The following is a 16,034-nucleotide window of genomic DNA, read 5'->3' as shown; positions in this document are numbered from 1 at the left end:
GTTTAAATATTTTAAAAGGTGTTTGTTTGAATCACGATTTGGAAGGTCTGTACTTTCTAACTGGTTGGTTGTCTCTGAGTCTGTTTTTTTTTTTTTTTTTTTCACTCTGCTACCCAGGCTGGAGTGCAGTGGCAGTCTCAGCTCACTGCAACTGCTGCAACTTCCACTTTCTGGGTTCAAGTGACTCTCCTGCCTCAGCCGCCTAAGTAGCTGGGATTACAGGCACGTGCCACCACGCCTAGCTAATTTTTGTATTTTTTGCGGAGACGGGGTTTTACCATGTTGGCCAGGCTGGTCTTGAACTCCTGACCTCAAGTGATCCGTCCACCTCAGCCTCCCGAAGTGCTGGGATTACAGGTGTGAGCTACCGCACCTGGCCTCTGAGTCTGTTGTAATCTAGGTTCTGCCATCTCTTTTTCCTTGCTTTTGTTGTTGTTGAAGAAACTAAGTCATTTGCCTACAGTCCTACAGCCTGGATTTTGCAGATTGCCTCCTTAGAGTGCCATTTAACATATTTTCGGACGTTCTGTATCCCCTGTAAACTGGTGGTAAATCCAGAGGCTTGATCTGATTCAGGTTCCGTTTGTTGGCAAGAATATTTTGCCAGCGGTGACACACACTTCCATCATGAGGCTCCAGATGCCTGGTTGTCTCTCTTTTTGTAATGTCCACAGCTGGCCAGGCACGGTGGCTCATGCCTGTAATCCCACCAGTTTGGGACACTGATGCCAGAGGATCATTTGAGCCCAAGAGTTCGAGACCAGCCTGAGCAACATAGTGAGACTCTCATCTCTGAACAAAAACTTTAAAAAATAAGCCATGAAATTTAAAAGAAATTAAAAAAAAAAGCTGGATACAGTGGCTCGCACCTGTAATCCCATCTATTTGAGAGGATGAGGCAGGAGGATCATTTGAGCCCAGGAGTTCCAGGCTCTAGTGAGCCATGACAATGGCACTGCACTCCAGCCCAGGTGACAGAGTGAGACCCTGTCTCAATCAATCAATCAATCAATCAATATCCACAGCTGCTAGTGACCATTGCTCAGGTTCTTGATTGCATTAGAGGTTGCAAAACGTTGATTGTCCAATTCTCTCATTCCTTCTTCATTTTATTAGCCAGAATATTCCTATACAGAGAAATTTCTCATCAACCATTTGGTTATCTTGAATTCATATAGGAAAGGCAGGACAAATGTTTGATTCTTTTTTTAAATTTACCAGTTTCAAAACAATGAGTTGGCTCCCTAGCATCTTCCAAAGGTGGCCAATGATGTTTTAAAAGTATCACTGTGAAAGATATATCACATAACATATGAGACATCAAATTAATTTGATGTCTTTCAATCCAGTTATTGTTACTAATGCAGTTATTATTTCAGTGCACTTTCAATGCTGTTTCAAGGCAGTTATTGTTAATCATGCTCATGTTGCCCCATTTGTGGCCAGTGGGAGCCTCTTCAGGTTCACTTCTGAGTTGTTTTGACATGACCCTAGTAGTGTTTGCTGGCCTCCTTGCTTTCTTGGTGTGACAAGATGGCCCAGGCTTATCACCTTTCCTGCCCCAGAAATGAAATCAGCCATTTATCTAAGGGTAGCTGGCTTTCTTTTTGTGAAAAACGGTATTTGGAGACTGAATGTGATTATTTCAGAAAAAAATGTATACATTGCTCTTCATAGATCATTATTCTTAGGAGTCTTTTGGTGTGAGGCTGTTGATCTTTTTAATTTTATTTACTTATTTTCACTAACTCATATTTCAATTTTGGGAAAGGTTTCAAAAATTTTAAACCCAATCCAGTTTATTTAGGTTTTATTCTCTTTTTCGAACTTTAAGCTATAACCTTCAAAGGAAAGCAAATGTTGGGTTTTAACTTCACTTCTTTTTTGTGTTACTCTATATAGACACATACTTACTCAGTGGCTTCCTGATGCTGCAATAAAGTATTTACAATGTAGTTGATTAAGAAAACATTTGTGAAGTAGATACTTGACTAGCAACTTTTTAGTTCAAATTATTGTTCAATATTAAAAAGTACCAACTCAAATGACTTACAAACGTTGGTAGTTACTGTCTTGATAGACTCCCAATTACTATGTGACATCATTGGTGAAACTTAGGATGAAACCGTGAAATGCACCCTCCCTAATAACCTGCACATTATGGTGTTGCAGATATGCTAGATGGTATCTCCAGATTAGATGTCTGGGAGCCTAAAGTAGTTATACTTATGACAGTTTGAAATTCTAGACTGCTTTGAAGAGCTGTTATTTTGCTGTTATCTTCTGCTTTTATCCCTGTACATTTGTCTCAGATCTCATCTCAGATTCTCAGCTTCTTGTCAAAATCATCCTTGCAAGTTTCTTGCCCCTCGACAACAAGCATTTCTTGAGTGCCTGACGGGGCCAAGCACTCAGCCAAGCACTTGAGGGAGGAAGATGCATTGGGCAATATGACTTTTCTTTCAGGAGGCCCATCAGCTTCTGTTTTACATGTCCCTTTTGCCTTCTAGGGGCTCGCGGTAGCAGGATTACTACACCTGGGAGTATAAATGAAGCCTGAGATGGGACATTAAATCTGCCGGGGAGAAAGCAGTGAGGATTCACTGTGGTTTCCTCTCACGTTACCTCACTGTCTGCTATCTCTCTTATGAGAAAGTATGTTTCTTAACAGAAGGCCATGCAGTGAGTGACTCAGCCCTTGCCCACCCCCAACCATGCTGACCAACCACATTTTTCTGTGGAATCGTTCTTCCCTCCTTTTGACTTGGTCCCTGCCTCTTACAGCTGATTCAGCTTAGCCACACTGAAATCAACAGGAAGGCTTTTGCTTTTCTTCTTTCATACAACATGTCCAAATATAAAGCCAACCTGCCCCCTTACTATCCTATCCTCAAGACAAGCAAGAGTTGCTTTCCATGATAGTCCTTACAAAGTATCCTGTACCATAAAGGCTCTATGAATTTATTTTGAATAAAATAGTTGGAGCAAATCCTTCAGATACCTTATCCATAATAAAATTGTTTCATGAAATGAGAGGGTGTTGGGGGGTGGGGAGCGATGTTTTCTAATTATTTTATTTCACATAATCTGTAATTACATTAATACATAGTATAAGCAGACACTTGACTGTTTCTTCTTCTGTTTTGAGGTTTACATATTCAGGTTAGCCCACAACCTTTTGGATCTTCTCACTGAGAAAAACAGGGGATCTCTTTCTAATCAGGCACTTGTCTTTGGGTCTTTTTTGAATCTGAGAACTAGGCTATCATTATAAAGTCAGGAAAATCTCTACTCATCCTCAAGCCATTTTATTATGTAACACTGTCAAATATTTATATAAAGCAGCATACTTTCTTCTCCATGCACAAAAAAAGGTTATGTCTTTAAGTGGCTAAACTTTTTTGACTAAACAGACTTTTTATTAAATTGGTTTTCTGGCCAGATGTGGTGGCTCATGCCCGTAATCCCAGCACTTTGGGAAGCTGAGGCTGGCCAATCACTTGAGGTTAGGAGTTTGAGACCAGCCTGGCCAACATGATGAAACCCCATCTCTACTTAAAAAAAAATTTAGCTGGGTGTGGTGGTGCATGCCTGTACTCTGGAGGCCAAGGCAGGAGAATTGTTTGAACCCAGGAGGTGGAGGTTGCAGGGAGCCTAGATCGTGCCACTGCACTCCAGCCTGGGCGACAGAGCAAGACACTGACTCAAAACAAGAAAAGAATATTGCTTCATAAACAGTTGTGCCTAGTAGCTCAGGAGACTACAATTAAGTCCATTTAAAAAATGTGTTTTTCTGAGATTCCATGTAACACTACCTGAAAAAAAGTAGAATGATGGGAATTAATTGGAGGCTCTAAAAACTAAATAAGAATATCGGGCCAGGCATGGTGACTCACCCCTGTAATTCCAGCACTTTAGGAGGCTGAAGTGGGTGGATTACTTGATGCCAGGAGTTCTAGACCAGCCTGGCCAACATGGCGAAACCCCGTTCTACTAAAAATACAAAAATTAGCTGGGCATGGTGGCACATGCCTGTAATCCCAGCTACTCAGGAGGCCAAGGTAGGAGAATCACTTGAACTTGGGAGGCGGAGGTTGCAGTGAGCTGAGATGGCACCGCTGCACTCCAGCCTGGGCAACAGAGCAAGACTCCATCTCAAGAAAAAAAAAATGGTTTTCTAAGATTCCACTGATTTTTCCCCTCCGTGATTGTTGTATAGAACCATTCTCTACACAGGCTTATCCAGCTTTAACCTGTTGTCTTTATTTTTTACTAGGTTTTGTTGTTGTTGTCTGCCTGTTTGTTTTTGAGATGGAGTCTTGCTGTGTCGCCCAGGCTGGAGTGCAGTGGCATGATCTCGGCTCACTGCAAGCTCTGCCTCCTGGGTTCACGCCATTCTCCTGCCTCAGCCTCCCGAGTAGCGGGGACTACAGGTGCCCACCACCACGCCCGGCTATTTTTTTGTATTTTTAGTAGAGACAGGGATTCACCGTGTTAGCCAGGATGGTCTCAATCTCCTGACCTCGTGATCTGCCCACCTCGGCCTCCCAAGGTGCTGGGATTACAGGCTTGAGCCACCGTGCCCGGCCTGTTTTTTAACCTGCAAAGTCACCTGCCCACTTTCTCCATTCTTTCTTTTTCACTTAAAAAGCCTTCTTCTGGTCAAGTTATTTTTATCCAGTCTATCTAATGGATATTCTATTTTTTGAGACGGAGTCTCACTCTGTTGCCCAGGCTGGAGTGCAGTGGTGCCGTCTTGGCTCACTGCAACCTCTGCCTCCCGGGTTGAAGCAATTCTCTGCCTTAGCCTCCCGAGTAGCTGGGATTACAGGCTCCCGCCACCACGCCCGGCTAATTTTTTTGTATTTTTAGTAGAGACGGCGTTTCACCATCTTGGCCAGGCTGGTCTTGAACTGCTGACCTTGTGATCTGCCCATCTTGGCCTCCCAAAGTGCTGGGATTACAGGCATGAGCCACTGCGCCCGGCCTCTAATGCATATTCTTAAAAGAGCTGTGTGTTAGGTTTGCAGGGGTTAATTTCAGGAAGCGTTTGATAACCCTTTGTTTTTGCTCCTTGAGGTTTTGTTCCAGGGACAGCCCCTGGTGAGGCAGAGGCTTCAGAAGGCAAGTGGTAGGGGACTCAAGGCCCACAGGTCTTGTGAATGCTTTCCCATCCAGGCCCTGCATTTCATTCTGATCTTTGATTGAATGCCCCTCTGCTATATAGGCATTGGTTGTGGTGAAGGTAAGAGTGAAATCAAGACTGATCACAGTAACTTGAGAGGCCTGGACTAGTGGCGTATACTTGTTTTGTGGCCAACTGGTCATGTTGATCATCAGCTTTCTCTAGCCTTCAAGTTAAATAACAAGGCTCACATTTGTAACTGCATTTCTTTGAGTTGAATGGTAAGGTATAGTTCGAGGTCAGTACTTTGTAAGGACACTCCTGGTGTCGTATGGTGCACTCAGTCACCAACATTTATTGAGCACCTACTTTGTGCCAGACACCAGACGAGGAGGAGAGGGTGCTCAGATCTGCCCTTTAAGAGCTCCCATTCCAGGGTGTGTGTAGGGAGGGCATGTCGGGGAAGCCCTCACAGCATAGCATGATAATGACCTGCAAGACTAGCATCTGGCATTAATGGAGCAGCTTCTGTATACAGTTTACAGATATCACGTCTCACCCTTGCCACAGATCACCTTCTGATTTTAAACACAAAGAAAGTGGGCTCGAGCTAGGAATCTCACCCCATGTCACACAGCCAGTGAATGTCTAAGCTGGAATTTGCTCCCAGGCCTGCTGGGCTTTCTCCTACACCTCATGCTTAGAGGTGACAAGAGAGGAGAGATGGGCTGGGAGGCTCAGGTTCCTTGGGCCTTCGTGGAAAGCAGCAAGTGACAAGAGTATCCTTAATGGTGTCTGAGGCAGGCAATGGTGGGCCTTTCTTTCCTCTCACACAGCCGGGTTTGTTTTTTCTCTTCTTTCTTGATTCATCTCTTTTCTGCTTTCCCTGCTGCTCCCCAATTCTTTGAGCTGCTACTGGGCCTGCTACAGACATTGTTGAATCCTGCCAGAGGCCATCCAGCCACAGGTGTGCTGCCTCCTGCCCAGGGAGAGAGTTCAGGCCCAGGGACTGTCTGTCACTGGGGTCCGTGTTCTGAGCCTGTCTTTGTTGGGGAAGCTGATGTTCAGTTTTTAAGATGCAGGTCTTGGGAATTACCTGCTTGTTGGGTTGATGTCCCTTAGTGGTGTGTTTGTGAAGACACCAAAAGGAAAACGTGGCTGGTATGTAGGTCAGCTTTATTGTACGCGGAGATCCCCACAGTATCTGTGGCCTTGACCTGGGAAATTCAGACCCCCAAACCCTTCAGCCCTGACACTAATGGGAGGGCACTGGATGGTAAGAACTTGGCCTTGTGCAGACTTGCATAGAGAAGAGTCTGTGTGTATGTAAAGTTGATGTATGGCCAGGCATGGTGGCTCACGCTTGCAATCCCAGCACTTTGGGAGGCCGAGGTGGGTAGATCACCTGAGGTCAGGAGTTCGAGACCAGCCTGACCAACATGGTGAAACCCCTTCTCTACTAAAAAATACAAAAATTAGCTGGGCGTTGTGGCAGGTGCCTGTAATCCCAGCTACTCGGGAGGCTGAGGCAAGAGAATTGCTTGAACCTGGGAGGTGGAGGTTGCAGTGAGCCGAGATCACGCCATTGCACTCCAGCCCAGGGGACAAGAGCAAGACTCCGTCTCAAAAAAAAAAAAAAAAAAAAAAAAAAAGTTGATGCACGAGTATCTGTTACGGTTCTCTGGTTTTAAGTAAAAGAAACCAACTCTTCCTTAACTAAGGTAGCAAAAAGGATTTATCAGAAGGCATTGGGGTAGTTTATAGGGTGGAAGGAGAAGCTAGAGGATCAGGTCTGAGAAAGATGGCAACTGGGCAGCTTCAGGGATCTCACTTCTGAGAGCCCTGGTGGGGGAATCTGCTCCAGCCGTCTCCAGTGTTTGTCACATTGCTTTGATCACAGTTGGGTCCTATGTCATACATTGGCTGGCAGAGGGCAGGGCATGTTGATGGACAGTCCCATCAAACTATCTCATGGTGGAGGGGAAGTTCCCCCAAACAGTTCCCCTCCCTGCATGGGGAGTGTTCTCCTGCTAGGGCACAAACACAGTCTACCACCTCAATGACCGACAATCTACAATAATAAATTCTTAAATATATATTGTTTAGACTTTTAATTTTAATATTATTATTTTTTTGAGATGGATTCTTGCTCTGTCACCCAGGCTGGAGTGCAGTGGCATGATCTCAGCTCACTGCAACCTCTGCCTCTGGGGTTCAAGCTATTCTCCTGCCTCAGCCTCCTGAGTAGCTGGGATTACAGGCACGTGCCACCACACCCAGCTAATTTTTGTATTTTTAGTAGAGACAGGGTTTCACCATGTTGGTCAGACTGGTCTTGAACTCCTGACCTTGTGATCTGCCCGCCTCGGCCTCCCAAAGTGTTGGGATTACAGGCGTGAGCCACTGCGCCCGGCCAATTTTTATTTGTAAAAGCTGTACTGAGGTATAAAATTTCACCCATTTTAAGTGTACAGTTTAATACTTTTCAAGTAAATTTACAGCATCCTGTAACTCTCACCACAATTTAATTTGAGAATATTTCCGTCACCCCAAAAAGATTCTTCATACCCATCTGCAGTCCATCCCCATTCCCATCCCCGGCCCTAGGCAGCCACTGATTGGTTTTCTGTCTTTTTAGATTTGAACATAGTTTTTTTTTAAATATGTTCCTGACTGGTGTAACTTTTTCTGGGTATTCTGGAAACTATGTTATACATGAAAGAAAAAAAGAGCCCCCCCCCACCCCCCCGCCCGCATCAATGGTGTGAAAGTCTGTATCTCGCTGGTCTCAGGTTTCTCTGCTTTCTCTTTTAAATCCTTCCTTCTCTCCAGTGGACCATAATTTAGGAGAACGTAGCCCTGGGCTTGATGCTGCCATTATTTACCTCTCAATGTCTCTAAGCCTAAGTCATGGAACCTTCTAGGCCTCAGTTCCTCATTTGTAAAATTCAGGAAAAAAAAATAGACTAGATGATATCTGATGTTCTTTCCATCTCTAATGATCAGTACTCATGATCTTTTTTGGTGAAGTCTGTTTTGGCAAAAAATTACTTCTTGATTTTCTATGCCCTTCAGAGGACTGAAACAAAACACTAAAATTAAAAATTTATTCTTCAGAATTCACAGAACACAATAAGTGCAAAAGCAGTAAGTGTGTAACATTTCTACTTCTGAAATGATTAAAGCTTACTGCACTGAGACCTCTGTGACATTGTGTATATGTGTATACAGCGGAGGAAATTAATTGGAAACTTTCATTCTCCTTCATGCTTTCTGGTTTATTCAAATATTTATTGAAGCAGACAGGATGCTAGGTGAAGGATTTAGAATCCTGGCAAAGATAAGGGCTTTTCCCAGATGAAGGTTGCAGTCTAGTTGGGGTAAGTCAGTGTGAAATTATAGTGAGGTGAACTGGTCCTAGGAGACAGGAAGGACAGTGAGCAGAGGGAGGTAGGGAAGGACTGGGTCACAGAGCAGGGCCACGGATATACCACCGCCACCACCACCGCCATAGTGAGAAGCTGGCCCTGAGAAGCTGCTAGGCAGCTGGCTTAGCCAACCCACAGTTAAAAACCACCCATTTCGTCTTTGGGGGAGGAGACATTCCAGCAAGTTTGAAGGTAGAGATAGGGGAGGGTGAAGTGTTTTGCATTTCTAAGCAGATCTCTTATCTCCCCTGGCTCTATCTTTTTGTAACATGGGGTTAACTGTAGCATTGGTTTTTGCAGTGACTGTAGATGTAGCAAACTTGTGGAGGCTGGCCTTTTGGCACAGCACACAGCTGGAGGGTGGTATTTTTCTGACAGGGAGATGTTCTTAAGTTTTGTAATTTATGGTGTCTTTAAATATGGGATTTTGTTTACTGTTATCCTAATTACACCTCTGATGTATTTTATTTAGCTTAATGTTTTAATTTTCTGCTCATACCCAGAGGTAATTTCTCAAAGGGTACCACTTTAAAAAAATCATAGGTAATGTTTCATCCTTCCTGCAGTTACCTGCAGCCTCTCGAAGGCAAGGAAATGGGTTTTGGGGGCATAGACTTTCTTCTGGGCTCTTGTGATATAATTTTGGCTGTGTTTGTATCATCCAAGATCTTCACCACCTGTTTGCCAAGTATTATCCTAAACCATTCTGTTCTATAGAGACGTGATACAAGCCACATGTCATTTTAAATGTTCTAGTAGTCACATTAATAAAATTTTAAAAAGGTAAAATTAATTTGTATAATATATTTATTTAACCCAACAGATCTAAAACATCACTTCAACATGCAATTGATGTGAAAATAATGAGCTATTTCACATTATTTTTTTCTAAACAAGTCTTTGGAACTTGGGATGTATCTTATGGCACACGTCAGTTCAGACTAGCCACATTCCAAGTAGTCATTAGCCACATTTGCAGTGACACTGTATTGGACATCAAAGTTCTAAACCTTTCAAAGGCTTGCAGAGGGCACTGGAAAGAGCCCTTAGAGTGGGTAGGAGAGACATATCCTCATGATTTATGAGCTCTTAACAAAGCCACAGGTTTCCTCTTCTTAGAGAAACCTGATATGTAAAAAAAATTCATCTTGACAGGAAAGGTAAAGCAGGAAGTAATTATTCATGTTACAAAAGAATTAACCACAGGATCTTTTAAATAGCAAGCTCCCTTAGTGCACGGAAGAATATGACTCAATTTGCAAAATGTGATTGACACTTGACATTTTAGTAGCACCTTTGTTGGGCTGGGAACGGTCTATCATCATAAAATGCAAGCTGAGTGGTCAGTTGATCAAGTCTTTATTGAGCACCTACTGCATGTCATGGATGCTTATAGGGGCCCCAGCAGAACTAAGGGTGATCCATACCCAGAAGGCATTCAGGGGCTCACAGGGAAGACAAGACACAGCTTGGGATTGCCTCAGTGGCAGGGGCCAGAGAGGCCTTGGGTCTAGAAGAGCTTGGAAGGTGATGTGGAGGCAGTCAGGACCTAGCTGTGGCCAGAAGGCAAGGAGGCTGTGCATGATTACTTAAGTTTAAAGAAAGGGCAATGGCCAGGGTGGTCGCTCACGCCTGTAATCCCAGCACTTTGGGAGGCCAAGGCAGGCAGAACATTTGAAGTCAGCCTGACCAACACGGTGAAATCCTGTCTCTACAAACAATACAAAAATTAGCTGGGCATGGTGGTGTGCACCTGTAGTCCCAGCTACTTGGGAGGCTGAGGTGGGAGGAACACTTGAGCCTGGGAGACAGAGGTTGCAGTGAGCTGAGATGGTGCCACTGCACTCCAGCCTGGGCAACAGAGCCAGACCCTGTCTAAAAAAAAAAAAAAAATTTTGTTTTTTTTTTTTAGTATCTTCTTAATTATGTATAGATTGTGTACATATATTCCTGTACTAATTGAAGATCAAGAAAACCCCAGAGAAGCTCCTACGCTGTTATTATTAGGCTTAACAAACTTTTGAAACACATAAAATTGAGTATTGTATGACTTTAGACATTGGTGGAAAAATGAAGACATTTTCTTCATGGTTCAGGTACATAGTTTTAAAATATCTTGCTAATCCTGATGGTTCCACACTTACACCAATGTCAGGGGTGGAAAGAAACCCATATTATGAATGATCTTGATAACTGAGTGTTTGGGGGCCATCTCCCCGTAAGATCTGATGTGTCTTCCCCATGTGGTGGGCAAAGAGCTCCCAGCAGAAGCTGAAGTGGCAACTCTATCATTTTCTTTCTTTCTTTTTTTCCTTTTCTTTTTTTCTTTTTTTTTTTTTTTTTTTTGAGACAAAGTTTCGCTCTTTTCCCCAGGCTGGAGTACAGCGGCATGATCTTGGCTCACCGCAACCTCCGCCTTCCGGTTTCAAGCGATTCTCCTGCCTCAGCCTCCAGAGTAGCTGGGATTACAAGCACCCACCACCAAGCCCAGCTAATTTTTGTATTTTTAGTAGAGACAGGGCTTCATCATGTTGGCTAGGTAGGTCTCAAACTCCTGACCTTGTGATCCGCCGGCCTTGGCCTCCCAAAGTGCTGGGATTACAGGCATGAGCCACCGTGCCCGGCCAGCTCTCCCATTTTCTTGGCACTTGGCCTCGTGTTGTCTACAGCTCCTACTTTCTTTACACAGATCTTTTCAAGCAGCTGACCCACTTTGTGAGGGTGATTTCAGCAAGAAGGGGTCATAGCCATAAGGAGGCTGTACCAGGAGGCACCAGAGAACTGCAGGGCACCCCATGGTGGGGACACAGTCAAACCATATCAGATGGGAATTATTAGCTTTGACATACAACTGAGACCTAGAGAAGTTAGCATCACATGGAATGCTGGTGCTTGCTCTGGTGGTACTCCTTGATTCCACTGTCCCTCTGGCTGCTTCCTGCCCCTTAAAGGATCCCTGACTGTGTGTCCTGGAGACTGGGTGAAGGAACCTGTGTCATTCTGTCAATGGAACAATAGAGAAGTTGAATTATTACTTTTTTAAAGTTAAAACAAAATGAATAGACATTGTAATTTTTTTCTCCCATCATCTCAATGGATGCTTAAAACCTATCTCAGTGTATTGAAGTTGGTTTGTTGTTGTTGTTGTTGTTGTTGTTGTTGTTGTTGTTGTTTTACTCATTTGTGCTTTTTGTCTCCTATTTAAGAAATCTTTGCCAAACCTAAGGTCATTAAGATTTTCTCCTATCCATTCTTATAAAAAGTTTTACAATTTTAGCTCTTACACTTAGGTCTGTGAACTATTTTGAGTTAATTTTAGCATATGCATGCTTTACAGAGCTCATTTAACTTTTCCTCTTCCATTATTTTATCATAATTTCTGAATTGCTAATTTACCACTGGGGATTTATCTAATTTTTGCTATCCTTGTATTCATTCATTTGCCATTCATTCATTCATTCATACGGATCTGCAAATAAAAAAGGAAAAGGTGGCTGGGCACGGTGGCTCATGCCTGTAATTCCAGCACTTTGGGAAGCCGAGGCGGGCAGATCATCTGAGGTCAGGAGTTCAAGACCAGCCTGGCCAACATGGTGAAACCCCGTCTCTACTAAAAATACAAAAATTAGCTGGGTGGGGTGGCATGCATTCAAGGAGAATCGCTTGAACGTGGGAGGTGGAGGTTGCAGTAAGCTGAGATTGCGCCACTGCAGTCCAGCCTGGGTGACAGAGTGAGACTCCATCTCAAAAAAAAAAAAAAAAAAAAAAAAGTGTTATGAAATTGGTTCATATTGAGGTGGTCATGAGGAGAAGTCCAGTCTAAATGAATTGCATAAGTTAACTAATTTTTGGATTGGTTAATGCTGCTAATTTGCATTGGCACTTTGTCAGTGAGAAGACCCACCTTTCTTACCTGTTGCCTTTGCTCATTACCAAGTATGAGAGATTTTCATAGATCAGGAAAACAATGTAACATGGAATTGATGCGTAAGAGCTCATCTGTTGAGAGGGCAGTTGTGGTTCTGATGTAGGCGGTCTGAGACATTGGCTTGGCCAGCCAGGCCCTCTATGCCACCTGTCTTTACACGTGTTGTTGCTGCAAGATGGGTGTTACCTCTGTCGGATGGTGTATTAGTCTGTTCTTGTGCTGCTAATAAAGACATACCCAAGATTGGGTAATTTATAAAGGAAAGAGGTTTAATTGACTCAGTTCAGTATGGCTGGGGAGGCCTCAGGAAACTTAACAATCATGACAGAAGGGAAAGCAAACACATCCTTCTTCACATGGTGGCAGGAAGGAGAAATGCCAAACAAAAGGGGGAAAAGTCCCTTATAAAACCATCAGATCTCATGAGAACTCACTCACTATCACAAGAAAAGCATGAGAGTAACTGCCCTCATAGTTCAATTACCTCCCACTGGGTCCCTCCTACAACACTTGGGGATTATGGGAACTACAATTCAAGGTGAGATTTGGGTGGGGACACAGCCAAACCATATCAGATGGGGATTATTAGCTTTGACATTTTGTACAACTGAGACCCAGAGAGGTTAGCATCACATAGTATTGGCGGGGGATGGGAGACCCAGAAGTCAAACCGACATCTGTTGTCTGTACTCTGAGCTCGGGGAGACAATGCTGGACACCCTCTGGGTGGGGCAAATGTTGTTATCTGGCTGTCATCATGCAGCTTCCCCTCTGAAGCGCCTGCTGGCCCCAAGACCTGTAGGCCACCCTGCCTGTGCCTGACCACGGACCAGCACTTTGTGGTTTCTGTGCTATAGGCTTCAGGTTAACCAAAATTGGGTTACTGTGTGTGGCCCTGTTATTTTGAATATTTGTAGAGGGGAAGTCCCTTTAATGTTACTTTACTGGCCTTCAAGGGATACTGGACCTCAGCCTTCTCCAACATCTGACCTAAATTACTCTGTTTTCCCTGTTCCTTCCAGTGGAGGCCATAGTGGAGTTTGACTACCAGGCCCAGCACGATGATGAGCTGACGATCAGCGTGGGTGAAATCATCACCAACATCAGGAAGGAGGATGGAGGCTGGTGGGAGGGACAGATCAACGGCAGGAGAGGTTTGTTCCCTGACAACTTTGTAAGAGTGAGTACAAAGCAAAACCCTTTTCCTGTCTCCTGTGTGGGCTCTGCTGACCAAAGTCTATGGGGGCGCTTGAGGATGAATTGCATGAACTCTCTTAGGGAATGGCTTGCCCTCCTCTGTGATATCAAGAGAAGCATGTATAGTTTTGCCCTTGGTATCTGGGATACTTGTTTTGAAATTGCTTTTTTGAGGCTCAGGATGATCTCTTTCCACTGTGTATCACTTCTTAGGATATGCTAAGGCTGGGTGCAGTGGCTCATGCCTGTAAATCCCAGCATTCTGGGAGACTGAGGTGGGCGGATCACTTGAGGTCGGAAGTTTGAGACCAGCCTGGCCAATATGGTGAAACCCCATCTCTACTAAAAAAAAAATACAAAAATTAGCCAGGTGTGGTGGCATGTGCCTGTAGTCCCAGCTACTCGGGAGGCTGAGGCAGGAGAATCGTTTGAACTTGGGAGGCAGAGGTTGCAGTGAGCTGAGATTGCGCCACTGCACTCCAGCCTGGGCAAGAGAGCGAGACTGTCTCAAAAAAAAAAAAAAAATAGTAAAGGCTGTTAAATTGTTGTATGTACTTGTTTATTTGCTTTGGAAGTTTAAAAGAATTTTATTTTTTTCTATTCCTTGCAAAATGGAGGTAAAACTCAGTTTTGACCACTTAAATAACAATTAAATTAAATGTAGAATTCAGCCAGACATGGTGGCTCATGCCTATAATCCCAGCACTTTGGGAGGTTGAGGCAGGAGAGTCACTTGAGCCCAGGAGTTTGAGACCAGCCTGGGCAATATAGGGAGATCCCTGTCTCTACAAAAATAAAATAAAATAATTAGCCAGGCATGGTGGTGTGCACCTGTATTCTCAGCTACTTGGGAGGCTGTGGTGGGAAGATCACTTGAGCCCAGGAGGTTGAGACTGCAATGAGCCGTGATCATGCCAGAGCACTCCCTGTCTCTAAATAAATAAACAAACAAATAAGTAAAGGTAGAATCCAAATTATGGAATGCTTTGAACGAATGAATGAATATAGAATTCAAATTATGCAATGTTTTCCACCTTTGTATTCATATTGCCTTTTTTTTTTTTTTTTTGAGACAGTCTTGCTCTGTTGCCCAGGTTGGAGTGCAGTGGCATGATCTTGTTCTCAGCTCACTGCAACCTCCACCTCCCAGGTTCAAATGATTCTCATGCCTCAGCCTCCCGAGTAGCTGGGATTACAGGCATGTGCCACCACGCCCGACTAATTTTTGTATTTTTTTTTAAGTAGAGATGGGGTTTCACCATATTGGCCAGGCTGGTCTCAAACTCCTGACCTCAAGTGATCCGCCCACCTCAGCCTCCCAAAGTGCTGGGATTACAGGTGTGAGCCACCATGCCCAGCTCATATTGCCTTTTTGATAGGAGCAATATTATTTTCCTTTACCCCTTTATGTCCATGAAGCATTAAACAAGACTTACTTCTTCAGTAATGTTTTGAAAATTATGCCTTTTGGAGAAGTCATCTACAGGTTAATTATAAAAATGTAACTCATTCATATTAATAAATTACCACACAGTTGTAAGTAGTACTTTGAATTGTTGGGTAGAAAAAGATCACCTGGAGGCTATTCCTCATGGGAAATATTAACTAGGTCTAGAAGTCCCCTTGCCATAAACTTTCTATCTCATACTGGAGAAGAATGGATTGTTCTCAGAAGAATGGGTTGTCCTCAGTGGGAAGACCTGCATGCAGAAGTCCCCAGGTCCCCTGCTGTAGTCTCCGTGTTACCAGATAATACTTAAGAGGACTGTGCCTTGGATACAGGGAGGCAGGTAGTATGGGGAACCTTGGGCCCAGAGAAGCAGGTGACCCCCGCCAAAGGAGCCCTGAGGGCTGGGTGGGAGGGGTTTTTTATGACAAGGAGTTGTTGATGAAAAATGTGTGATGGACACTGGACTTCCAGTCACTACCCTTTCAGAGTCGAAAATGAATAGGAACCTATTTAAATCTTTCTTTAGGATCTTGTCTCAGGGTGATCCTGCTAGCATTTCTGTTTTCTTTTCTCTTTGGTGTGAGAAGGCTGGGGAGAGTTTTGTAGGGAACATGCTGCTAAACATTGCTTTCTGGAGTTGTAGGAATATAGGCTTTCCCCCCACTGTACTACACTTGAATCCAGCCGCTCGCTCCCATTTTAAGAGTGGGAAAGTGCTGCATCTGGGCCACCACAGACTCTGTTGAGGTGTGAATGGGAGTTCTTTTGCATATCCCAACAAAGACCCCAGTTTTAGGAAAGGAGCATCCCTGAAGTTGAGCTGCATTCTAGTGTGGAAAGAGGGTTTTTCCAGATAAAAGGGGCAGTGGTTAGAGTGAAGATGAAGGAAGAAGGAATGACAGAAGG

At 43.9% G+C, this 16,034-nt stretch overlaps 1 protein-coding gene across 12 annotated transcripts in view, besides 2 other annotated features; it reads left to right on the top strand.

Moving 5' to 3' along the window:
• Nucleotides 1-16,034, top strand: part of SH3KBP1 (SH3 domain containing kinase binding protein 1) — a 353,624-nt gene that overhangs the window by 37,815 nt on the left and 299,775 nt on the right. For 7 of the 12 annotated variants that reach the window (NM_001353890.2, NM_031892.3, NM_001353892.2 and 4 more), the window contains exon 2: nt 13,504-13,661. In NM_001353890.2, coding sequence (NP_001340819.1) covers nt 13,504-13,661 — 158 coding nt within the window. Of the gene's footprint in view, nt 1-13,451; nt 13,662-16,034 lie in introns of those variants that run through there. The other 5 variants (XM_017029468.3, XM_047442043.1, XM_017029467.3 and 2 more) reach the window with 1 other exon arrangement.
• Nucleotides 9,570-9,619: an enhancer, noted in NCBI's record as "active region_29469". NCBI's record gives its function as "activates an Ori minimal core promoter by ATAC-STARR-seq in GM12878 lymphoblastoid cells {active_cell/tissue: GM12878}" and the evidence as "EXISTENCE:reporter gene assay evidence [ECO:0000049][PMID:35858748]".
• Nucleotides 13,207-13,266: a silencer, noted in NCBI's record as "silent region_20689". NCBI's record gives its function as "represses an Ori minimal core promoter by ATAC-STARR-seq in GM12878 lymphoblastoid cells {active_cell/tissue: GM12878}" and the evidence as "EXISTENCE:reporter gene assay evidence [ECO:0000049][PMID:35858748]".

This window comes from Homo sapiens, chromosome X (assembly GCF_000001405.40).
Source record: "Homo sapiens chromosome X, GRCh38.p14 Primary Assembly".
Taxonomy (NCBI): Eukaryota; Metazoa; Chordata; class Mammalia; order Primates; family Hominidae; genus Homo; species Homo sapiens.
Note: the sequence above shows the minus strand (reverse complement) of the source record. Positions and strands in the feature narration are given on the sequence as shown.